Raw genomic sequence first — 24,373 nt, 5'->3', positions numbered from 1 at the left:
TACACTAGGATGTTTAATAGGAAGGAAGCTCCTTCCTTTATGACATCACCAGACAGAGAGGTAGCTAAGGGGATTATTTGAGACACTCTTAGAACAACAGCCACTTTTGTGGGAGCCCAAGAAACAGCAGCTTTAAAACAGGGTAAATATTCAGGCATCATTAGGATCCTGAATACAAGCCAGCCAGTAAAATACGGGATCTACTCAGAAGGGCACAATCTATCAGATGGTCAAGACAAATAAACCTGGGGCCAAGGTAGCGGTTTCAGCACAGAGAGGGTCTGAGGTTACTACTAACACATCCCCTCAGCAGGGACATGGGTACGTTCTTGCCTCAAGCCATCGAAGTGCTGCAGTCTCCCTGAACCCTTCCCACCGAAGATCAGAAGCTGCACATCCCACCACTCCCCATTCAGCATCAGACTACCCTCGATCTGTCTCCCTCCAGTCAGGACCTGGACACTATGCAGTACCCACTCCTCGGGGACCCGAGACTGGACCAAGAACAGAATCATCCCGCCATTCCTCTCCCCATCTAAAGAGCCAGAAGACTCAGACACTGGCTTCCCATGCTTCAAGCAGACAATGGAAAGTTAGTCCACCCAGAGAGGAAGCAGCACGAAGAGGCAGTGAGAGCAAGTCAGGGCGCGAGGTCGGCCATCATGCTTCATCAATCCCAGATGCCAAATCTACTCATCAGTTGAGTTTTCAAGACCAGAAGAATAACTTACAATCACAAATCTTAGAAGATGACCCACCATCCAAGGTCCAGAACCCCCAAGGAGTCAGAGTTCCCCGTAGGATTTTGTCTTACCCAAAGGATGAAGCAGTACAAACTGAGCCCATCCAAAGAATTACGACTACTAGTGAGATCAGATCTCCAAGGAGTCCCTCTCTCCTAGAGCACGGAAGCAGCTGTGTCTCTGCAGACTATCAGACAGCCCAGAGAAGGGTCCCTGTAGAAGAATCAGAAACAGGTCCTTACGGTCCAATTCCTTCAAAACCCAAGGCCTTGTATAGGAATATGAACTTGGACTCATTGCTCAAACTCTCTGTCCTTAAAGATTCTGATGGTGTACACCGAGTTTCTGCACGGGTAGACCCTGAGTCTCTTCATAAGTATTCTGCCTATCCTGAAACCAAGCCCTCCGCAAAGGTCTTAGTATCATCACAGGTGGAGTCCAACGTGAGGACCCCAATCCGAGGAAACAGCGAGGTTGGCCGCAGGGTCACCATCTCCCCAGGGGTACAGTCAGTAGAGCCAACTCACCATGTGACAGTTCCATCAGTGTCTGAGGGCTCCCACAAGTCATCCATGTTTGTTACTCCAGAGCCCATCTATAAACAGCAAACCCAAAAACCCCCAGAAATTACTTACATGTCCCAAGGACCTACACCCAGGTATCCAGAACTCTCGCAAAAGCCCTCCATCCATGCAGAACTGGAACTGACCCCTAGGCCCTTGCCTCCTCGGTCCTTACCTAGGTACGGACCTGACTCCTCATGGTGGCCCTTGCTGAATCCTGAAGTTGAAACACCCCAAAGCCAGCTGACAACACCGGATTTTGAGCCTAAGTGCTCTCCTTCCCTAGATCTTTTATTGTCCGGTTTTAAAATAGACTCTAGCCCTTTCTGTGAGGATCTGAAGTTCCAGAGAGAGAAGGCAAGCCTATCACCACCATCACCACCAAAGGAGTTTCCAAGTTGGGCACCACTGAGTGAAGTGCCACAGACCCCCAAGCACACCTGCAAACAACCCATTCAAAGGTTTACTGCTTTCTTCCTGGGTATGTGAAGAAGCAGACTGCCCAGGTGCAGCCCCAATTTAGTGAGATGGGATGTTGGGGTGGGCAGGAAAGACCACCTCTTCATTCTGGGCCTAAGGGCTGCTCTCCTGCCAGTGCCAAAGCTAGTCCTATCCTTGAGCCTATTGCTCCATTCCTTCCCTGCCAGCTTCTCTGTGCTCCAAGCTAATGACATTGATGATGGATGCTTGGGCCGGGCGACAGGCATTGACTCCTCCAGGCAACACTGCTTACCTTTTTAATTGAAGGTAGTAGAGAGGGGCTTGCAGGGTTGAAAGCTGCTTCCTGAGTGGGGATGAAGAACTGAGCTGGGGTGAGGGCTGGCAAGGGCTGTTAAATAGAATAAGGGCCTCAGGTAAATACTCTGGCTACAAAGTGGAGAGGGTGGGATGCAGATGAGCTGGGATTCCAGGAGGGGAAAGGCATTCACAGTGGCACAGAGAGAGGGTGTAAAAAAGAGAAAGGGAGAGTGGGAATACGATATATAGTCCTAGGCTGGAGGAGCTTCTTGGAGAGGACCAAGGGCTGAGGGCACCTTTGAGTGGAGAAATGTGGAGCTAGAAAGGGAGCTGCAAGTAGTGGAGAGTGGGATGTGCATCCCACAGAGAGAAGAAAAGCAACCATCTCTCTGTTACTTTCAGATGTCTCTGAGGAAATGTACAATCGTGTCATCTGGTGGCTAAAAGGTCTGTGCTTTTCCCTCCTATGGGCCCACTGTGGGAGCTTGGGGGATGGGAGGACAGGTGAGGAGTGGCATCTATGTATCTACAGAGCTGGGTCGTTTAGGAGATAAATGCTGGGATTTTGACCTGAAGAAGCAGAGGAACTTCTCATCTTGCTGAAAATTTCACCATTAGAGTCATTTCTTTGGGGCTTGGAACCTTTTCCATTTTCAAGAGTCTCCTTTTAACAGGAAGTTACTTCTGGAATGGAGAATAATTTAAGCCTCATGGCCTTTTCAGCTTAGTTGGTCATCTATCACATGATTTTAAAAAATACACCAAAGCAAACCGCCTGCTTCACAGTCTTGCTCAGAGTTGACTTCACGCTAATTCAGGCTGGGGGCTCTTCTCATGTGTTTCTCTGGTTCCTCAGAACCCTCCTCATGCCCCAAGTTTACCACCTGGGGTACTTATTGGTGCTGCCCAGGCAAGATCTTCAGAGATGTCTGGGCCTCCCCCTTGAGGCCATCAGTGTGTCTTGCAGCTCTAGAATCCTTAAGAGAAGTGTCCCCAGGCCTTGTGACCCTCCTCTCCCTTTATACTCTTGGCCTCTCTGGGGGCAGGGGAGGGTGGGGACAAGACCTCAAGGAGTAAATCTTGGCAGCAGGGACTTCTTGCTGTGAGCATTGTGGCCCAAAATATACTCCAGCCCTATGAGCATGACAGAGGCCAGGGCTATGGATAAAGCAGTTCCTGGGGAGGAGAGAGCCCTGGGAATTCCATCCAATCCCAACCAGCATGAACCCTCCTAGTGATGGTCAGCAAAGAGCAGAGAAGGGCAGTCCTGCTCCTCAGAGGGAGCAAAGCTCTATAAAGTAGGGGCATAGTAAAGTACGAACTCGAGTTATCTAACTGGATTTGGGCCCTGGGTCCACTATTTTCTGACTGTGACCTTGGGTAAGTTATTTTACCTCTCCAAGCCTCAGTTTCCTCATCTGTTACTGAGAATAATGGCTCCCTCTTAGGGTTATTGTGAGGATTATTACAAGTTATTACCAATAAAACACTTAGCACGGTGCTTGGCAACAGTGAGCACTCAGTAAATACTAGCTGCTGTTGTTTGGGCCACTTGCACTAGGAAGGGATTGGGCCAGGTTTGCCCAAGTCCACTGGGCATCTTTAGTAAATTTCTCTTTTTCTCCTCCTATTGGCACTCTCTGAATTCCATTTGCTGCCCCCTGGGAATGCCTGGCTTCTACTCTGTTATGACAGATGAGGAGGTAAGAATGCCCCTGGGAGGTTACTCCCAGTCTTCCTGGGCCCACCCCACAATCCAAATCCATCTCCTGTCCTGTAATGGGAGTGGGCATGGAGGGAGACAGAGCTGCTCCCTATGGTTGGGCAGATTGTTCACTGCACAAGAGCACCTGGTAGAGGGGGCAAGTGGGGGGCTGAAATATAACCTGTGTTCCATTTGCCAAGCTGTGCACCTGTGGAACCGCATCTCCCCAGAGGGGGATTTGCACAAAAGCACTGTATGAGCTAGTTGCAGTCCGAGAAAGAACAGAGACCTTTTGGCAGATGATGACTCTTGCCAAGTGCTCTGTGGGAAGGCCGTCTAGGTAGCCGTTGGATCAGTCCCCACCTGGTTCTCCTCTTTTCAGCCTGGGGCATTCCAGAAAGGGGTCGCTTTTTTGGGTTACACACTATTTGGGTCCTCAACTTGGAAAAACTCAAGGTGGACTCTGCTGTCAGCAGTCCCGTGTCCTGATTTGGCAGTGTCCTGATTTCGCTGCATTGTTCCCATAAGTACTTTGGCTATTCTTGGCCCATGTTTGATAAGATGGTCAAAGCTCTTCCTACTTCCATTATTTTCTCTTGCCATATTTCTCTATTACCCAAAGCCTAGCAATGGCCTCTAATAGGTCCCATTCATAGGCTGACTCAGGATGGACAGTTGGCCACAGATAGAAAACAAATGAGTGCATAGTGGGGGTCAGCCTAAGCTCAGATAATGGAACAGCTGAAGGGGAGGTGACCAGAAACAAGGCTGCCACCTGCCACTGCCATGGGTTCTTATCCAACCTTATGCCCTGAGCTCAGCTATAGGTGGGAGTGGCTACTTTCAGAGATTATCTCCATGCAAGACAGTAAGTCCCTCCCTCCCTTTCTCCCTTCCTTCCTTCCCTCCTCTCTCTCTCCCTCCCTTCCTTCCATAAACAATTTTTATTCAGTTGCCTAGCACTCTGCTAGGCACTTTTAGGGGAAGAATTGAAGTTTCACAGCACACACATTCCTTGGCCTTGAGAAACTTGCCATGTGGTTGGGGAGATAAAACACAGACAGGAAACATTTAAACAACAATATGAAATAGTTTGTGCTCAAATGTCAAAATAGATGGAACAGGCTGAGTAAGTGCTCTTGGAGGGTCTTAGAGAGGGAGTCTGCAGGGAGATGGGTAGCGGATCAGGTTATGCCCTCCTTTCCAAAGCCAGGGGATGGTGGTGTCTTAGCTAGCCTTTTGCTCACCCCTAGATGCAAATCTGTACCTTTGGGAAGGGGTTAATATTTCCCTTCAGTCAAGATTTGATGTTTTTGACTGAGCAGGCTCCTCCCTGTTCTCCCCCACCTTCATCCCCTTTTTCTGTGCATCTTGTTTTAGTTTAGGAAGTCAAAAGCCTTGGCAACAGGGTGGCTCCTTCCTAAAATAGCTCTTATCCGGTCTCGATAATTACAGCTCTCCAGCCCTGTTCAGCAGCAGAGCTGCTCCCCAGAAGCCAAGAAAAGAAGGCTCCCAAGCAGCTGGGCTGCTGGTCTTCTCTGACTCTCTGGAGGTAGGATGGCATGGAGATGGGCCAGGTGCTCTCTAATGCATGAGAGAGCTAGGCTCTCCCCGGCCTGTCCCTCAGCCGGCATGGCCCCATGCAGCCTCAGGATGGAGACGCTGTGGTGCTGGTGTCCAAGGCCTCTGATTCCTCTGATCTGGGAATGGTTGACCATAGAGTCTGTTCCAGATTCCATTCCTGGCAGGAATTCTCTGGTGGCCTGGCCACGATGCCTGGCTTGTGGAAGGCATCATGTTTGTTGTTGAGCTTCACAAGCCTCTCTGGGTGAACAGCTGGGGATGGGGCCTGATTCAGCCCATCTCTTTAAGTGTCAGTCCCTTCCCAAATGGCCCCTCAAAGCCCTTTTGTCTAAGGAATGGGGTGGACAGATGCTTCTCATCCTTGGATTGGGACATTAGGGGCAGGAGTCTCCCCAGAGGAGGTTATGCTGGACTAAGGGAAGCATTCCTGATGGGTTTTTTTTGGGGATCAGAACTAGCAAAAGCTCAACAGGAAGGTCCTGAGGGTGCCCTAATGGGTCACTGGGGGCTGCCTTCTCACATAGCCCTGGGGATTTCCTGGAAATAAAGCAGTTCTGATGGGAGGGGCTGCAATGCCTTTGATGGACAGGGTGTGTTAGCCCCAAGATCCTGTGTCCTCAAGGCATCTGACCTACTCATCCTTAAATGTGACTTCTCAGGCTGTCATAGGGCAAGGTGGTTTACTCTCTGCTCTATCAATTATGCAAGAAACCAACTCTGGAAAATAGGCCAGGAATCAGAGGAGGCCATCTCACTGATACTTAAGGCAGACCTCAGTGTCTTTTGGATGACATGTCATGTGACCCTGAAGGGATGGGATGATCAGCCTCCTGTTGGCTTTTGAATCACAGGGACATTTTGCTCAGGTTGGCTTCCTTTACAAAGCGAAATCCAAAGCCTCTGAGGAACTCAGGGAGTTTCCACATTCATGAGGATGTTCACAGAATCCTAGGTCATGGGCTATGTGAAAGGAACCCTCCCTCGCTTTTTTTTAAAGTGTTCTGTTGCCCAGGTTGGAGTGCAGTGGTGCAATCCATAGCTCACTGTAATCTCGAATTCCTGGGCTCAAGTGATCCTTCTGCCTCAGCCTCCTGAGTAGTTGGGACTATGGGCACCAACCACTGCACCCGGCATTTCTCTTGCTTTGGGCAGAGGCTCGTAGTTGAGAAGAAAGAATTGTTGAAAGAATGGAGCAGAACTGCTGAAAACGGGGCAGGGCATCTCAGGAGGCTTTTTTTTTTTTTTTTTTTGAGACAGAGTCTCGCTCTGTCACCCAGGCTGGAGTGCAATGGCGCGATCTCGGCTCACTGCAACCTCTGCCTTCTGGGTTCAAGTGATTCTCCTGCCTCAGCCTCCTGAGTAGCTGGGATTACAGGCACCCGCCACCACGCCCAGCTAGTTTTTGTATTTTTAGTGGAGACGAGGTTTCACCAAGTTGGTCAGGCTGGTCTCGAACTCCTGACCTTGTGATCCACCCACCTCAGCCTCCCAAAGTGCTGGGATTACAGGCATGAGTCACCACGCCCGGCCTTGGGAGGATTTTTATAGCAGTTTGACCATTGTTGCACAGCTTCTTAGGAAGCAAGCATCTTACCCTGTCAGATGGCACCCTGTTCATTTCCAGCTACCATGGGCAGCCAATTCCAGAGCAGGATGGAAGGCTGGTGGCCTCTGGCTAAGACTTGCTAACCTGGGGACAGGGTAAGTTGACCAACTCATCAGGGTTTGCCTGGGACTTTGCTGGTTTTAGCACTGAAAGTCACATGTCTCAAGAACCCCCTCAATCCTGGGCAGACCAGGACAGGTGGTCACCTAATACAAGCTGTGGTGCAGTCTGCCTGGAAGCACAGAGGGAACAATGTCCTGGCTTCACAGTGAGACCTGGGCAGGTTACTCCCTCTGCCTATAAAATGGGGGCAGGAATATACAATGCTTTTCTCTCAGACTTGATAGCAGAGCTGAGGCCAGACTCCCTTAGTTCTTTGTTTTGCCCAGAATAGTCCCACATAGGGAAGAATCTGCCACATCCATTGTGGACTTTTTGGTGTATTTTCAGAAGGTGTGTGGTGACTGAAACCCATCTCCAACATCACATCTTTCTGCAGAGTAGTTTGGTGCTGTTTGAAATGGTGGATTTTCCAAGTAACAGAAACAGTGGGCCTGGGTAGATTAGGGAGCTTGGCTTCAGAGGCCAGGGTGCATACTTGGGTGAGGAAGTAAATCTGTAACCCAGGAGCCACCCTGACAGGTGCTCAGCCAGAGGAAGGCTGTCCTGAGAGGCAGAAATGGCCATGTCCCCTCACCCTCCTCTGCTCAGCTGCCTTTGGCTCAGCTGCTGTTAGGGGAGCAGCAGGAGACAGCTGCACCTTGGGGGCTGAATGAAGCCTGGAGGAGGGGGACAGAATGTGAGGCAGTTCCTGAGGGAAGCTCAGGCTGACACTGTGGGTGTCGCTTCCTTGGCACACCCACTGCCGGCAAAGTCATCTAGTTCCAGAGGTCTCCACAGTGGCTGTTTCTGGGAATTTGGGTCGGTAGGTCTGAGACCAAGCACCAGCTTTCTAGAGATGGTGTCTAGCTGGAGAAGCTGACTCCACAGGTGGTGGCGGCTTGGTCATTCCAATGTCAATTTAATCTAAGGCATTACTCTGGTATTCTCTGTCCTCCCATCTCTCTACACCTATTACACATGCACACTCCAAATCCTTTGGAGGGAAGGCATTTGAAATAGTCACAGTTGACAGTTACTGGTTTGATGTTGATAATTTTCTTATTAATGGAGATAATAGCTACCATTCATTTAGTGATCATGTTAAGTGCATTAGTGGGTTTTCATAGTAACCTATGAGTGGATTTATTCTCCCTATTTCACAGATGAAGAAATTGAGGCTCAGAGTTTGTTCATCAAAGCTGGAAGCATTTTAAGGAGCAGTCTGTCCCAGGGAGTCAACTATATGGTATAGAAACCCTTCTTCTATAGCCACGTCTCCCTGGAAAATACTTCTCAATATTTCAGCAGCACCTTTAGATATCAAGAATTGTGAAGGGAAAGGTTTTAGTGAGAGTAACATCTGTGTCTTTGTATGTGAACCACGGGGCTGGGAGGTGGGTGTGAGCTTGTGAGCAGCCAGGATGAAGGGCAAGTGAAGGGTCAATGAAGCGCAGAGCCTCAAGGCTTGTCTGGGCTCTAAAATCAGAATGGAAAACTAATCAATGAGTCCTTTTAGTCAATCCATATTGATCAGCCATCTCCTGGGGGCAGAGGCCTGGACACCCAGAAAAACATCACATCACATGTTTGCTGATTTGAAGTGAGCAGAGGTTAAAAGAAAAGACATAGTCCCTGCCCTTGAGGAGCTTGTGGTGAATTTGGTAGAGAAAAGTATACAGATGGGTCACTTGAAAGGGTGTGGACATCAAAGGACAAAGCAAAGTCCAATGAAATGAGTCAGCAAAGCTTCCAGCATGGAGGCATATGGAGGGTAAAAGCCAGGGAAAGACAGATTTTGGCTCAGTATAGTGAAGACTTTGGTAACTTGGCAGCCCAAAGGTTGAAGGGCAGTTGTTAGAATCAGTGAATTTTTGGCCATCGGAGGTATGTATTCGAGCAGAGGCTGGGAAGGCAGGGGAGCCTTCAGACATCTGGTGAGTAGTCACATTAGGAGGTTTGTAAGTCCTTTCCAACCCTGAGCTCCTATGGCCCTGCCCTGTTCACGGAGGGTGTTGGAAGGACTGTCTGCCCTATCAGAGTGGCTGGCTTCTAGCACCCTGCCAGCTCTGGAACTGCCCCTCTTTGCAGCCATTCAGCAGGTGCCAGGAAACACAGTGTTCCCCAGCCTTGCCACCCACACCTTATGCCTGCCCCCAGGATCATGGGACACATGGCAGCAGCTGGGGGAAGATTTGGGCTTAATGTATTTTGGTTTATTGCCTTTGTCCACCACAGACCTTGTTGGACAGACTTGCTGAGGTTTCCTTGAAAGACACAACCCAGTGATAGCCTTTGGTCCAAGGACTCTCTGACTGTATCGTCAGTGACTCATCTATCTCACTGGGGAAGGGATGTACAATTAGTTCTTGCGCCACTTTAGGGAAACTTAGCTACTGAAAGGCAGAAGTGGCCATTGCTAGTCATGCAGATCTGAAATCCTGATTTCCTGTGGTAATTGCTCTTTATTATCGGCTTTGAACCTGGGCCCTGGGATGGCCCACATGCAGCCTCCTTGCTTAGGTCCTGTGCCATACAACCTGCACCTATGGGTGGGCAGGAAAGACCTAGTGGAGGGGGCCAGGACATATCATGTTGGCCTGACCTAAGCAACGGAGCCCAAGACAGCAGGCTAGAGCTATGGTGGCTGAGCTGAGTTTCCCAGCTAGACACTCCCCTAGACACTTGGCTCAGATACCATGCCCTAGCAGTGCCTGGGGAGTTGTACTGTAGTCAAGGCCATCAATGCCTGGTGGGATGTTGAATTTTGAGGGAGAACTAGCGCTCCAAGAGTTAAGCCATGCTGAAGCAGAGTTGGCCAGGCCACCTGCTGGCTGGAGATGAGGAAGAGCACTCGGTAAATCCCCAGTGACTGACGCAAGGGCTGCTGTATCTTGGCCCTGCAGGTATTAGACCCTGCCTCCATCACACAGAATGTAAGAGCTAGACTTGGGAGAAGTCCAGTCTTCTCTTTCAGTGGGGGAAACAGAGGCCCAGAGAGGGCAAGGGACTTTCAGGCAGTGAGATAATAGCCAAGTTGGCATGGGACTTGTGCCCAGGCCAAGTTCTCTCAGAGCTCTCCGAATGCTGCAGTAGGTTAGCATGCAGGGCTTGTGCAGGTGGGATGGCTCAAAGTCAGTCTTCAGCTTTTATTTCACCCAGCATGCCTCATGTTAGGCCTGTGGTACAGTGATTAGAAAGAGATTAGACCCCAATATTCTTGGCTTAGAGCTAAGTTCCGTGGTCCCAGGACTTGCTTGGGGCCTCACTTTCCTCAAGGCAAGCTGGTACCAACCTGCTGCCTGGGCAGCAGGTGCCAGAGAAGAGCTGGGATTCCAGCCACAGCTGAGGATGAGCTGGTTGGGCTGCCTTTTGAAATGTGTCTGTGTCCACACTTGGAATTCAGCTGAGGCCACGGGGAGGGGCATGTTATAATAGAGGAAAACAAGGGTTTCTGCTGGGGCCTGTCTTCCCTGATGTAGGCTTTCTCCTTACCCTAGGCCACAGGACTCTGGAAGCACGCAAGAGGTATTCTTAGAGTGCATACATGAGTATTGGAGGCCCAGGGCTTTGAACAGTGGGGCTTTGTATAGTCCAAGCTTGACATTTGGGGCTGATGGTAGCAGCAGCTGCTGCTTCTGCAGACTTCCAACTGCCATTGGTTTCTCTCTTTATGTCTTTGTTTTCCTGAGTACAGCTTCCGATCCCCTGATCTACCCCAGGTCTTTTCCGGGAGCCTCTCTGTACCTTTAGAGGTTCCCTTTCAGGGAACCCAAGCTGCTGCCCCCATCCTACACGTCCTCCCCCTTCACTCAGATCCTGGGCCCTCTCCTGAATCACTGCATGTCCAACCTTTCTCCAGCACCTCCTGCTGCTGCCTTGTTCTCTTATCTTCCTCCAAGGCCTATAGTAGCATACAGCATATCCTCCTTCCCCCACTGCATCCACTTTTAGAAGGCCAGAGCTGTAAGGAAGCTTAGAAATCATCTAGTTTAATCCCCTCATTTTCAGGTATGGAAATTGAGACCCTGACAGGTGAAGTAAGTTGCTCAAGGCCACCCAGCTAGGAAGGTTTCTCCTCAACCGGCTGGCTCATGAACACCCTGCCATCTTCCAGTCCACCAGTGCCAAACAGCCAATAACATCTCCAGTAGCAGCCCCATTGTTTTTCTCAGCCTGATCTTACCTGCTGCCCCAGGCCCTCTTCCCTCCCCTGGCTGAGTTCTGACTGGTCCCAACCAGTGCTACTGGTTCACAGGTCAGACTGAAATACAGCAGGCAGGCCTCTGGCACTTCTACCAACAGAGAGGGCCGTGCCTGTGGGTCTCAGTTTTGTCCAGAGTGTATTCAGGCAGAAGCCAGTCAGCCTGCCATTGAGAGAGGGGTCTTGCGGGTCAGGAAGGGACATGCTTCTGGAAACTTCCACAGGAGCCTGACCAGCTCAGACCCTACTTAGCTCAGGGAATCCCTCACCAACACCCCACTCACCAAGCATCTGCCTTCCCCTAGCTGCTGCTCTGACCTTTCTGAGCCTCTAATGCCTCTAAAGCTTCTGGGGCATCTGTCCCCTCGGCATCTCACCTGCTTGTCAGAGGAAGAGTGGCCCAGCTGGGCCTGGGTCACGCCTGGGTTGGCCTCTCCTGAGGCCCTCCCCACTGTCCTCAGCCACAGGCAAGGCTACACCGCCCTGTTAAAGCCACTCAGCCTCTCCCTTCTATCCTTCCAGCAGATGATCCCTGGATAATTTGTGCAGCAAATCCTCTTTAATCTGTAATCTGGGGTACTGCATGAAGGGAACCTGCCTCTAACCTGCCCCTTCACAGCTCGGGTGGAGGTGGAGAATATCTGACATTCCCCTTTAGGAGGTGTAGTGATCAGTAACTTGGGCATCAGCCGGATTCACTTTGTGAAAACCTTGTTGAATCCCTGCGGTAACTAATGGTTTCTCTCCAACTCATGCAGCAACTCCCCCTCCCTTCCAAAGGCGTCTCCTTCTGGGGATGTCAGGTGGGCCGTTCCTTTTTCTTTGGGAACTGGCTCAAGCCCCCGCGGTGCTTCTGGAGCTGAGTAAAAAAGAGCCAGGTGTCCAGTGCAGCCCGGGGACGAGGAGCTGAGGCTCCCCGCTCTGTCCTGGGTGACTCTGCATACTCTGCGCATCCGGGGGTCGCGGGCTGCGAGGCCGGCCCCCAGCTGGGCACCCCGACCCACTTCGCGCCGGCACCGCTAGCAGCTGAGGTACAGGCCCCGCCCCGGGGCCGACTCGCTCCGCCCCCGCCGCCGGGCCCCTCCCGCAGCGGTCCGCACTCGGGGAGGCGGGAGGGTGACGGCGGTGCTGCGAGGTCGGCGCGCAGCTCCGCCGCGGGTCGCTCGGGCGCTGTCCAGGCGGAGCCGGCCCCGCCCGGGCTGCAGCCATGGTAAGGCAGGCAGGCAGGCGGGCGGGCGCGGGGCAGGGCTGGGGTGCGCAGGGCCGGTCGCTCCCGGGCGGCTGCAAGGGGACCCGCGGCACCGCAGCCGCGGCTGTGCAGGGTGGGAGGCGCCGTCGCCGGCCCCGGGCACAGGCTGGCACTGCTGCCGGGCGGCGGTGCGTCGCTGCTCCCAAGTTTTTCCCTCTGAGCAGCCACGGAGTGGGCGCCAACCCCTGGGTGATGCCTGCGCTCTAGGACGAAGGGGTGGGTCCGTGCTGAGGGAGGTGCCCGCTGGTGGAGACGCGCTTGTTGGGCTGGGGAAGGCGCATCAGTAATAAGCGGAGGTGAGGGTCCCCATCCTCGCCTGGGTCAGCTTTTACCTGAGTAACCCCTCCTCACCCACCTACCCTGGGCACAGGGGCCAGTACCAACTTCATTTGGAAAACGCAGAGGAGGCCCACAAACACTGCCTGCCTCACCAGGAGGGATGGTAAGACGCTTGGCCCCTCCTTCCCTCAGCCTGACAAGGGGCAGTCCCTGGCCCTTTCCCAAAGGGACCCCAGAGAGGGGGAGGCCCAGCCCACCATCCTGCCCGGTGGGATTAGCTATATCCTTCTGCCCCTGGGACAGGAACCATGGGAAAGCTTCCTCCTGCTGCATCTACCCGCTCCCTCCCCACCAGCCAGGTCCCTCTGCAGTGTGTGGGGGTGGGGGCACCCATCCCTGCCACCTGCCTGTAGTGGGAAGAGAAACAGTAACCCCAGCCAGCCTCCCTGGAGGTGCCCAGGTAGGAAGTTTTTGATGCTTGGCTCTGAAGATGTAATCTCTTCTCCTGACATTGTTGCCAGAGCCTGCCACAAATAACGTAAGGGTGTCAGGACCTCTAGGCCACACACCGTCCTCTCCTCTCAGTCTGGAAGCCCCACAGCCTTTGCCCTCTGCATTGGGGGACACAAACTGTTTACAGCAGGGGGGGATCACTGACCAGCCTGTGGGGCGGGATGTTGGCTGTGGGCAGCCTCCAGAAGGGAGCTCCCTGGGCCCCCTGGGATCAGAAGCTTTCAGGTTTGGTAGGGCCAACCTTTTGGGCTCTTGTCTCTCAAGCTGTGTCCAGGCAGAGGCCCAAGCCTTGGCCAGGAAGTCTTGGTGACCCTGTGACCTTCCCCCAACGGGGGTTCCTGAGAGAGGCCTGTCCTTATTCCTTTCCCCCACTTCTCCCCACATGGTGGATGGATGGACTGATTGTTCTAGGGATGGAAGCCTAGGGAAGCACTGATTGTCCCCAGTGCCAAGCCCAGCAGGGGCTAGAGGGGCTTTTTCTGCCACACACTAACTTCAGTTCAGCTGAGGTCTTGGTGCTTTCGGCTTGTCCGAGGCCACACTGTTCTTCTCTAATTAAAGACACACCCCCCTCCACCCCAACCACCATCACCAAAGTCCCCATCCTCAGGCCCCTGCCCTCAAGCCAGCCAAGTTCTTAGGCTGACTGGTTCAGATCAGACTCCTCTATGAGGGTCTCTTTGTCAAAGGAGGTCAGTGTCCTAGCTGCTTTGGGAATCAGTGGGGGAGACCCCCCCAACCCAGCTATGCCAGGGGGTTTAAATTTACATGTGAAAAGAATGACAGGCCAACATTAATGACCATCCTGTGACTTGGGATGCACCTTCTCTTCTCAGGTTCAAAGCAGCTTAAGGTATCTATCATCTGGGAGTGCTTTCTCTCCCCAGCCTCGCTGGGAGGCAAGGAAGGGCCATTCACAACTGAACATTAAGGTCCTCAAATTAAGACACTATCCAGACTCACAAAAGATGTTTCCACCCAACCAGAAACAGTGGACCCCTGACCCCTAGTTGAGTGCACACTTCCAACCAGGCCCCTTAATTTATCTCCCACCTAAATGGCAGCTCTGAAGCTTCTGGGCTGCCAGCCTCCCATTGCCTTGAACCCGTGCTCCTCAGAGACCAAGTGCTAACAGCTCCCCTGTTGACACTATGGAAGCCATGGAGTGATCTAATTGATACAGGTTGCTATAAGTCAGAGGTCAGGTGTCCTAGGGTAAGGGGAGTCCCTGGAGCAAAGTCTTCTCTGTGGCTGATGCTCCCTGCAGGGAAATTTAGGAGCAGATTTCTGAAACAGTGACGTTCCTCACAGGAAAAAAAAAAAAAAACAAATGAACACTTGGGAAGAAGTGTGGGACCATTCCCACAAAAACCTATATGGGGGAGTATAGGACATCTCACCTACTCCAGCACTGCTTAAAGTTAAGGTGAAAGAGAGACTGGGGGATTGAAATCCTTTGGGAATGGGTATCCTAGGTGGCTGTCCTCATGTGCTGATGGGCCAGGTCACTTGGGGATAGCTCATAGTCCTCATACAGGCCACAGTGTCCTTGGGGGTTAACAGGAGAGGTCAAATGGATCAAAAGCCTGGCTGCAAACAGACATTGGGAGGTTGGTGCTGTGCCCACCAGGGTAGGCAGCAGGCAGGCGTCATGGGACAGCCAATCAGAGGAGGAGGGGACTGCAGAGGAACCAAGTGATCCTGCTGCAGCTGAGCTGTCCTTGGAGGGTGGGAGCCAAGGGAAGGGGAGGAGAAGAGGGGTGGGGAAGGACATTCCACAGGCTTTTTTGGCCCCTGCCAGAGACAGAAGGGGGTCAAAGAGAAAGGGAAAGGAGCAAGCCAGGAAGCCAGACAACAACAGCATCAAAACAAGGCTGTTTCTGTGTGTGAGGAACTTTGCCTGGGAGATAAAATTAGACCTAGAGCTTTCTGACAGGGAGTCTGAAGCGTGGGACATGGACCGTTCACTGGGATGGCAAGGGAATTCTGTCCCTGAGGACAGGACTGAAGCTGGGGTAAGGTGCTGCTCTGGGAGATGGGTGGACGTGACCTGTCTTCCCCCTGCCTTGGCTGGGATTGGGGCTCAAAGTCAGAAAATGATTTGGTCACTGGCAGAGCTGGGAGTGGGGATGGACAGGCAGGAGGTGAGGACCCTGGTGTCCTGACTCCTTGTCTAGAGCCCCTGTGGCCCCCTCCATGCGGATGAGCAGCCAGGGCTGGCAGAGATGAGGATGGTGCTGGGTTCCCGGAGGCTCTGCTGGAAGATCATGGGGGCTAGGGATCTTCATTAGGGCCTTCCTTTCTCCCTTCCCTGCCCCTCCACTCAGTGCTCCTGGGAAACCAGGTGAAGCACAGCTTTCTCTCTCCCACCCTTGTCCTGACCCCCAGACCAACGGCTGGGTCATTGTGGATTTGTGCAGAGAGGCAGGATTTCCTGGAATTCCCCAGACTTATTAGCTGCCAGACAACACGTCGTGCTGCCCCCAGTCCCACCCCTTCTCTGTTGCCATGTAATTAATTGTCTAAGCTGGGACACTTTTGAGAGTGAAAGGGCACAATTAATCATGATGCCAGGACAGCAGGCATAGACTGGGATGTATGGTCACCACTGGACCTCACAAATGTCATAGGTGAGAAAAGCCTTGGGTTAGGCTTGCCTCAGGATAGCCTCTTCTGGTCACCCAGCCTCCATCTGCTGGTTCTAGTTTTGGGCTAAGGGGCCTCTTTTCCTCCCCTCTGTCCAGGCGAGCACTGGAGACTATGGCTATAAGCAGGTGTGAAGACTTCAGAGGCAACAGCCTGGCAGTAGCTCCTAGCAGACTTTTCCCTCTAACCTCCCTATCTCAACCTCTTCCCTCTGGCATACACCTGGCAGTATGCATATCTGCCTCCCTCAATTCTTCCCTTTGCAGGAAGACTGTGGCTATCTTATCTTCCTCACTCTAGCTGGGACTCCACAGTGGTCTGGGGTAGTCCCCACTGGCTTGGCTAACCCTCAGAGAGTGAGTCAGCCTCTGCAGCCGGCCCTTGTCCATTGTCTGGGGGTGGCACGTGGGTATTGTGAGGCAGAGCTGAGCCCAGCACTGCCAGGCACCCCACGAAGGAGGCTGACCCCCAAAGGAGAGGAGAATCTTTAGGGTCTAGAGCTGACAATGAGAGTTGGGGGAAACAGTTCCTCTTCTGAGCTGAGGATGGGGTAGAACAGGCTTCTACAGAGGAGTCAGTCCATTCTCTGCCTTCCACTCCCTGTGGGTCATGGTTCAGGCCAGGCCCTCTCGTGCACTGCCGGCTCTGGGCAGAGGGGGTAAGGAGACAACTCAGGGTGCTTCCCCTTATATGTCCCTCACAGTTGGGGGCTGTCAGAAGCTCTGGAGGCCCAGCCTTTCCCAGGCTCTTCCATCCTCCCTCACCTGGTCTCTCCCAGCTGCCTCCCACCCACAGTCAGCATCCACTGGCGGGTTTACTCTTCTCTCCCAGGGCCCAGGGTCAGATTTGGGTGTGGCTCAGTGTCTGGAGTAAGGGGTAGGATCAACTATACTGAGCGCTGGGCAGTGAACCCTGGGAATTGAGCACCAGCAGTAGAATCTGTACCCCAGTCCCCCAGCTCACCAGTAGTGACAGGAGGTACAGAACCCCCTGCTGGTTGACCTGCCTGATGCAGTCAGCTTTCTTCTCCCCTGCCTACTTCCCTCATGTCCCTGCCCCATTCTGATGCACTGTACTCTCCTTTTGGGTTTAATGCCTCTGTCTGCTCTATCTTAATCAGTCTGGCCTTACTTCCTGGCCTGAGACAGTCCCTGGCTAGGCCAGAACCCCAGGAAAGGCAGCCTCAAAAAACATGCTGCTGAGAAGGAGACCAGAACTGGAGTTCCTTAGTTCCCAAGAGCAGTTGCCAGGGCTCTGGGGGTGCCCAGGGCTCTTCCTGGACCCTGGGACCCTTCCTGGCATATTGGATTGGGGAGGCTTGTGAGCAGGTGAGGGAGGGATGGTGAGCACTTCCTCTGTCTTGGCTGCAGTTTCTTTTTCTTCTAACCACAAGTGCTTTCCCTTTCCCTCTTGCCTTCTCCTGTCTTCTGTCTCCTTCCTCATTCTTCCCTTCCGGCTCCCTTCCCGGCACCACCCATCTATTCTACCCACCCCGCTTCCCCCAGATCAAGCGTTTCCTGGAGGACACCACGGATGATGGAGAACTGAGCAAGTTCGTGAAGGATTTCTCAGGAAATGCGAGCTGCCACCCACCAGAGGCTAAGACCTGGGCATCCAGGCCCCAAGTCCCGGAGCCAAGGCCCCAGGCCCCGGACCTCTATGATGATGACCTGGAGTTCAGACCCCCCTCGCGGCCCCAGTCCTCTGACAACCAGCAGTACTTCTGTGCCCCAGCCCCTCTCAGCCCATCTGCCAGGCCCCGCAGCCCATGGGGCAAGCTTGATCCCTATGATTCCTCTGAGGTAGAGCCTCCAGCCCTGCCTTTGCCTTTCAGTGGGCTGCTGCAGGAAGACCGGGGGCAGGGAGCAGAGTGTGTGTGTGTGTGTGTGTGTGTGTGTGTGTGTGTGTGTTTGTGTGTGTGTGTATCTGGGACCTATTTCAGTCCTGTGTCAGCCCTAGCTCCAAGATATCTGCCCCCAAGGGCACTGGAAATTTGCAGTTTCAGCAAGGGCAGGAGGCCCAGCTGGTGGCCTCAGATGGGAACTCACAGAAGTCTGGCACTGCTTTTTTAAGGCTGGGGCAAAGGCCTGAAAGGGAGAGAAGATTGGCGCTGGGTGCCGGGGCCCCTTTGGCTCCTCACCGTGATGCATTCTGCCTTCCTGTCTACTAGGATGACAAGGAGTATGTGGGCTTTGCAACCCTCCCCAACCAAGTCCACCGAAAGTCCGTGAAGAAAGGCTTTGACTTTACCCTCATGGTGGCAGGTAAAAAAGGGGCAGGGCTGGGTTGGGCAGGGTGTGTTTCAGGTGGGGATGGTGTGTGTGTCCGTGAGTGGGAAGGGAGTATAGGTCGCAGGGAGCAAGCAGCGAGTGGCTGTACTGTTTTGCAAAACAGCCAGGAGTCATTGGCCTGTGAGAGTGTATGTATGTGGGGTGGGGTGGGGGTGGGGGTTCGAATTGGTTGCAAAGAGCATCTGACCAACAGTTTCCTAGCATTTGCCTCTTTTTGTGTGACCCTGGGCAATCTCTTGCTCCCCCAAGCCAATCTCTGTGCTTCCTCCCAGCTCTAAAATGCTATAGTTTGGTTAGTCTAGTTCCAATTAGATAAGAAAGCAGTCCCCCCTAAACCTTGATCCAGTGGAGTTGCTTTTTGGCTATAGATCTTACCTTCTGATTTGGTGCCTCTGTCCTCTCTCCTCTCAGGAGAGTCTGGCCTGGGCAAATCCACACTTGTCAATAGCCTCTTCCTCACTGATCTGTACCGGGACCGGAAACTTCTTGGTGCTGAAGGTAAGGAAAGGAGAGGACAATCAGGCAGACTTGCCTTGGGAAATTAAACTCACTCCAGAGTCTGGGGGATGGGGCTCTCCCCCACATGCAGGAAACCATGGCCTCCTAGAGAGACTGACAGCAGCTCTCCATAGGCCTAACTGCCTGGCAGCCCACCAGCCAGCTCCCTAAAGATTTGGGTGCTGAAGCAGGGCAGAGACCAGAGTCTTGCTCTCTGAATGAGTCTCTGACCCCCAAGGATTCCAGGAATCCAAGAAAAAAACCGGGAGCAGAGAAGAGGCTGGGGCCAGAGCCAACAGCCACCGGCATTTCCTGTGTTGGGAAATGTACTCCTTGCTGGTTCCCAGAGAACAGTCCCCCAGACAGCTTGGGAGTGGAGAAGGGGGCAGTGTGGATTAGGCAGTCTGAGCAACAAGGCTGGTTGGGGTGGGCGGTTCATCCTGACTGGGCAGGTCCCTGCCCTTGCCCTGGCCTCAGTTTCCCCTTTCTCCAGAGAGGATCATGCAAACTGTGGAGATCACTAAGCATGCAGTGGACATAGAAGAGAAGGGTGTGAGGCTGCGGCTCACCATTGTGGACACACCAGGTTTTGGGGATGCAGTCAACAACACAGAGTGGTATGTCTGAGTAAGCACAATCCCAGCTGCCCCTGAGCCACCCTTCTCCATACACAGGTACACACGTAGGCCCAGATATATCCATACTTATCAGGAGGAAGCGGTCTATGACCTTGAGCATGTGACTTCCCTTACTGGACAGCCATCTCCTCCTTTATAAAGTAAGAGGGAAAGGATTGGAATAGATGATTTTTAATGTTCCTTCCAATTCTGCCCTATGATTCTATAATGGGGTAGGGACATAAGAAAGAAGAGGCTGAGGCGGAAGTATCACTTGAGGCCAGGAGTTCAAGGCCAGCCTGGGCAACATAGTAAGATCCCATCTCTACAAAAAGTTTTAAAAATTAGCTGGGCATGGTGGCATAGGCCTGTAGTCTCAGCTACTGGGGAGGGTGAGGCAGGAGAATCACTTGAGCTCAGGAGGTTGAGGCTGCAGTGAGCCATGATTGCACTACTGCACTATAGCCTAGAAGACAAAGCGAAACCTTCCAAAAAAAAAAAAAAAAAGATAAGAAAGAAGAGCCTTAAAAACAAACACATGTGAAGTGTGAAAACATGTAGCACAGAGTTGATTACATAGTAGATGCCGAATAAACTGTCACCCTTTTTCCTTTCACTAGCAACATTTTAGGTGCCGCACACAATCTTGTTGAAGGGCTGGGCATGTATGGAGGGAGGGTAAAGGTGAGGAAGAATAGGCAAAAGGGAAAAATGGTGGAACTTTGTTTAAACTCCAGGCACCCTCTAGGCTACCTGCCGAAAGAAAAGCTGGATTTACCACAACCCCCTATCATTCGGGCTTTTTTATTTTTCAGGCACTGGAGGGACCCCCCTCCAGCTAATGGTCAGTAGGTCTGACCGTTACCTCCAGCTTAGGTAATGGTCAGACCTAAGTGAGTAGATGAAGAGGGAAATGGATGAGATTGACAGGAGAAAAGGTGGTAGCTTTGATGAAGAAGTTAGGCAGGCAGTGCTAAGAGCCCTAGACAGAGAGTTCAAATCTTGATTGGCATTTAGTAACTTCATGATCTTGAGCAAATGATCTCCTTCAATCAATTTACCTACTGTCTCTTACCTTCCATAATACTAATAATTTCATTTGCCAGGCACCTCACAGTTTAAAGTGTACCTCCATATATATTCATTTTGTCAGACACTTATTTAATTAAAATATACCAGCCCTTACCACCTCTCCAATTGATTTGAACATCACCCAACATGATGCATGCGCACTGAAAAGTGTAAAGGGCTATTTACAGCATACTCAGGAATTTTAACAATGGTAATTGCAGGACCAGCAACATAATTTGTTGGGCCCAGTGCAAATGAAAATGTAGGGCCCCGTGTTCAAAATTTTTAAGAATTTCAACATGGCAACGGCAGAGCATCAAATCAGCTAGAATGTGAGCACATACTAGATGTCCAGCCTGTGGTGGACATTTTAAGGGATTCAGAACAAGCATGAATGATTCCTATCCCTGAGAGGCTTATAGTCAAGTGGCAACAGGGAAGCAGGGGAGGTGGGGGCAGTTCTCTAACATGTTTCAATCAGATAGCAACTTAAATTAGTAAATGGGTCAGGCAATGTGTAGTGGCAAGTGCACTGAGCTGTAGGGGTTCAGGTGGGTAGAGAATTTACTAGCTAAATGACCTACAGAAAGTCCTTTTCCTTTCCCTCTCCTTCCTCCTTTCTTTTTTTTTTTTTTTTGAGACTGGTTCTCACTCTGTTGCCCAGGCTAGAGTGCAGTGGCCTGATCAACCACCTCCCGGGGCTCCCCGGGCTCAGGTTATCTTCCCACCTCAACCTCCCAAGTAGCTGGTACTACAGGTGTATGCCACCACACCAAGCTAACTTTTTTGTATTTTTTGTAGAGATGGGGGTCTCGCTATGTTGCCCAGTCTGGTCTTGAACTCCTGGGCTCAAGTGATCAGCCTACCTTGGCCTCCTAAAGTGCTAGGATTACAGGCGTGAACTACCACACCTGGCCTGGAGCAAATCTGTTAGCTGCTCTGGATTTAGTTTCTTCATGTATGAAATGAGAGTGATGATGATCATAATGCATAATGTCCACCTGTCAGGGCAGTGAGGATTAAACAAGATAATAGAAGAGCAAAGGATATGAAAATTGAGGTTCTTGGGGAAATTTATTTATTTATTTGTTTTGCTTTGTAGTGAAGAGAAGGGGAGAGCAGTGTGTATTGGTATAGTCAAAGGAGACTTCGTGGAAGAGATGGTTCTTAGGGCCTTGAAGGATGGAGTGGGTTTGGAGAGGTAGAGGAAAGGGTAGAAACACATGAGCAAAGAGGCTCTGAGGTTACACTGGAAACCTGACTTAGGGTTTCCCTGGCTTCCAGTTGGTATTTGCCTGCAGCCACCTTGCTATTCTTTTTTTCTTCTTCTTCTTCTTTTTTTTTTTTTTTTTGTGACAGTCTGGCTCCATCACCCAGGCTGGAGTGGTATGATCTTGGCTCACTGCAACCTCTGCCTCCTGGGTTCAAGTGATTCTCCTGCCTCGGACTCCTGAGTAGCTGGGACTACTCAGGTGCACACCACCACGCCCAGCTAATTTTTGTATTTTTAGTGGAGACAGGGTTTCACCATGTTGGTCAGGGTGGTCTCAAACTCCTGACCTTAAGTGATCCACCCGCCTCGGCCTCCCAAAGTGTTGGGATTACAGGGGTAAGCCACCGTGCCCAGCCTATTCTTACTGCTTTGTTTGATCACCTGGGCCCTTTCCCTCTCATCAAGCTAGTATTTATTAAACTTGCCTGAGTACTCAGTCTAATTTTGTATCAGGACATGTGAGATACACCCCACCCCATTCAGGAATTTCTCTAAAGATTTAGTAAAGCAAGCCAGGGAATAACAGTGTCTTAAAAACACTGCTCAGGGAGTGGGCTACTTCTCTGTAGTCCCAGAGCTCACTAGGTGGCTCCCACTCTCACAGTTTCTCTGCTTGTCTGTCCCTGCCCCAGCTGGAAGCCTGTGGCAGAATACATTGATCAGCAGTTTGAGCAGTATTTCCGAGACGAGAGTGGCCTGAACCGAAAGAACATCCAAGACAACAGGGTGCACTGCTGCCTGTACTTCATCTCACCCTTCGGCCATGGGTATGGTCCAAGCCTGAGGCTCCTGGCACCACCGGGTGCTGTCAAGGGAACAGGCCAAGAGCACCAGGGGCAGGGCTGCCACTAGCAGGTGGTCACAGGTTCCTGTTCCCCAGGCTCCGGCCATTGGATGTTGAATTCATGAAGGCCCTGCATCAGCGGGTCAACATCGTGCCTATCCTGGCTAAGGCAGACACACTGACACCTCCCGAAGTGGACCACAAGAAACGCAAAGTGAGGGAAGCTGGTGGTGGGAGGGGATCAGGTGGGCTTCTAGAAAGGATGTGGTCCCCAGAACTGTGGGCCCCTCATCTGTTTGTCAGATCCGGGAGGAGATTGAGCATTTTGGAATCAAGATCTATCAATTCCCAGACTGTGACTCTGATGAGGATGAGGACTTCAAATTGCAGGACCAAGCCCTAAAGGTGGGGCCACTCTAGGGCATCCCATTCCTATCTTATTTCTTCCGGGTAGAAAAAGGGAGTAGAATTCTATATTCAGGCTATCAGGGTGGGAAAGGACCCTGGCTTCCTAGAATGAAGCAGAGAAGATGACGATACAGGTGGAAAGAAAGAGGTGAGAACAGAGGGTGCTGACAGGCACCCCTAACCTCTTCCAGGAAAGCATCCCATTTGCAGTAATTGGCAGCAACACTGTAGTAGAGGCCAGAGGGCGGCGAGTTCGGGGTCGACTCTACCCCTGGGGCATCGTGGAAGGTAAAGCACTGAGCCTGTGACCAGGGTATCTCCTTGCCCTCAGTGGCTCTCCCCTACCTATGCCTCTGGCTGACCCCTAGCCTTGCTATGCAGTGGAAAACCCAGGGCACTGCGACTTTGTGAAGCTGAGGACAATGCTGGTACGTACCCACATGCAGGACCTGAAGGATGTGACACGGGAGACACATTATGAGAACTACCGGGCACAGTGCATCCAGAGCATGACCCGCCTGGTGGTGAAGGAACGGAATCGCAAGTATGACCAGAAGCCAGGACAAAGCTGGCAGGGGGAGATCCCAAGCCTAGCCTTGGGTGAGACCAAGCCCTACTTTTGTTCTTCTATAGGCCCTGGGCTCAATCTAAGCGGGTGCTGGGGTCCTCCTCGCCTTATCAACCCTTTTCTCCCTTTAGCAAACTGACTCGGGAAAGTGGTACCGACTTCCCCATCCCTGCTGTCCCACCAGGGACAGATCCAGAAACTGAGAAGCTTATCCGAGAGAAAGATGAGGAGGTGAGAGCAGTATGGGGTATAGGGGAGGTCTCCTGTTTGATCACCAACGTTGGTATCTCTTTGTTTGGTAATAGAAAGATCCCTGGCTCTGGTGCATATTTGGGTCCTGGATAGGTCAATAGGTGGTTCTGTCCAGAGTCTCCATCACACCTCACGGCTACCAAGGTTCTGGCTTAAGGGATTAGAAATTTGGGGCACTTTCCCAATACTAAAGGACTCTCCAAAAGTCCCCATTTTGATGCCTGTGCCTATTCCAGCTGCGGCGGATGCAGGAGATGCTACACAAAATACAAAAACAGATGAAGGAGAACTATTAACTGGCTTTCAGCCCTGGATATTTAAATCTCCTCCTCTTCTTCCTGTCCATGCCGGCCCCTCCCAGCACCAGCTCTGCTCAGGCCCCTTCAGCTACTGCCACTTCGCCTTACATCCCTGCTGACTGCCCAGAGACTCAGAGGAAATAAAGTTTAATAAATCTGTAGGTGGCTTCTGGTGTCCCTGTGTGTATTTTTATGACCTGGAGATCAAGATCCTGGGACCCAGTTTTGAAAGGCTAATGGTAGAAGATGTTGGTTTCTGGCTTTTAGTAGGGAAGGGAGAGTGGGGAAAACTTTCCACTTCCTTTCCCCTTCTAAGTCCCTGCTTAGAATCCAGCCTGGCTTCTCCATCTTGACGATCATATCTATCATGCCTCTGTTATCTG

General features: G+C 51.9%; 1 protein-coding gene and 1 long non-coding RNA gene across 24 annotated transcripts in view, besides 3 other annotated features; one reads left to right on the top strand and one right to left on the bottom strand.

Moving 5' to 3' along the window:
- The window catches only part of SEPTIN4-AS1 (SEPTIN4 antisense RNA 1), a 37,089-nt gene that overhangs the window by 12,513 nt on the left and 203 nt on the right, over nt 1-24,373 (bottom strand). Inside the window, exons 2-3 of the long non-coding RNA NR_110810.1 lie at nt 18,596-18,712; nt 815-956 (exon numbers count right to left, since the gene is read on the bottom strand). This is a non-coding gene — a long non-coding RNA (SEPTIN4 antisense RNA 1). The remainder of the gene's footprint in view (nt 1-814; nt 957-18,595; nt 18,713-24,373) is intronic.
- On the top strand, nt 85-24,157 carry SEPTIN4 (septin 4). 23 transcript variants are annotated; one of them, XM_047436309.1, is made up of 15 exons: nt 85-142; nt 2,447-2,491; nt 3,740-3,747; nt 5,205-5,301; nt 17,435-17,731; nt 18,100-18,193; nt 18,632-18,718; nt 19,212-19,335; nt 22,312-22,446; nt 22,560-22,677; nt 22,767-22,868; nt 23,063-23,159; nt 23,253-23,415; nt 23,571-23,670; nt 23,928-24,157. In XM_047436309.1, the coding sequence occupies exons 3-15, from the start codon at nt 3,740-3,742 to the stop codon at nt 23,985-23,987; spliced, it is 1,482 nt and encodes a 493-aa protein (XP_047292265.1). In that variant the 5' UTR covers nt 85-142; nt 2,447-2,491; the 3' UTR covers nt 23,988-24,157. The 23 variants fall into 23 exon arrangements, 20 of the variants coding, with proteins under 20 accessions (XP_047292265.1, NP_001355701.1, NP_001355700.1 ...); NM_001368772.2 differs by lacking the exon at nt 5,205-5,301; NM_001368771.2 differs by lacking the exon at nt 5,205-5,301 and having other exon boundaries at nt 85-1,787.
- Nucleotides 12,152-12,601: a silencer, noted in NCBI's record as "silent region_8772". NCBI's record gives its function as "represses an Ori minimal core promoter by ATAC-STARR-seq in GM12878 lymphoblastoid cells {active_cell/tissue: GM12878}" and the evidence as "EXISTENCE:reporter gene assay evidence [ECO:0000049][PMID:35858748]".
- Nucleotides 12,699-13,199: an enhancer, noted in NCBI's record as "H3K4me1 hESC enhancer chr17:56608575-56609075 (GRCh37/hg19 assembly coordinates)". NCBI's record gives its function as "activates a minimal SCP1, AML or CMV promoter by ChIP-STARR-seq in naive H9 embryonic stem cells {active_cell/tissue: H9 hESC(naive)}" and the evidence as "EXISTENCE:reporter gene assay evidence [ECO:0000049][PMID:30033119]".
- Nucleotides 14,973-15,473: an enhancer, noted in NCBI's record as "H3K4me1 hESC enhancer chr17:56606301-56606801 (GRCh37/hg19 assembly coordinates)". NCBI's record gives its function as "activates a minimal SCP1, AML or CMV promoter by ChIP-STARR-seq in primed H9 embryonic stem cells {active_cell/tissue: H9 hESC(primed)}" and the evidence as "EXISTENCE:reporter gene assay evidence [ECO:0000049][PMID:30033119]".

The sequence above is a fragment of the Homo sapiens genome, chromosome 17 (assembly GCF_000001405.40).
Source record: "Homo sapiens chromosome 17, GRCh38.p14 Primary Assembly".
NCBI classification, from domain to species: domain Eukaryota; kingdom Metazoa; phylum Chordata; class Mammalia; order Primates; family Hominidae; genus Homo; species Homo sapiens.
Note: the sequence above shows the minus strand (reverse complement) of the source record. Positions and strands in the feature narration are given on the sequence as shown.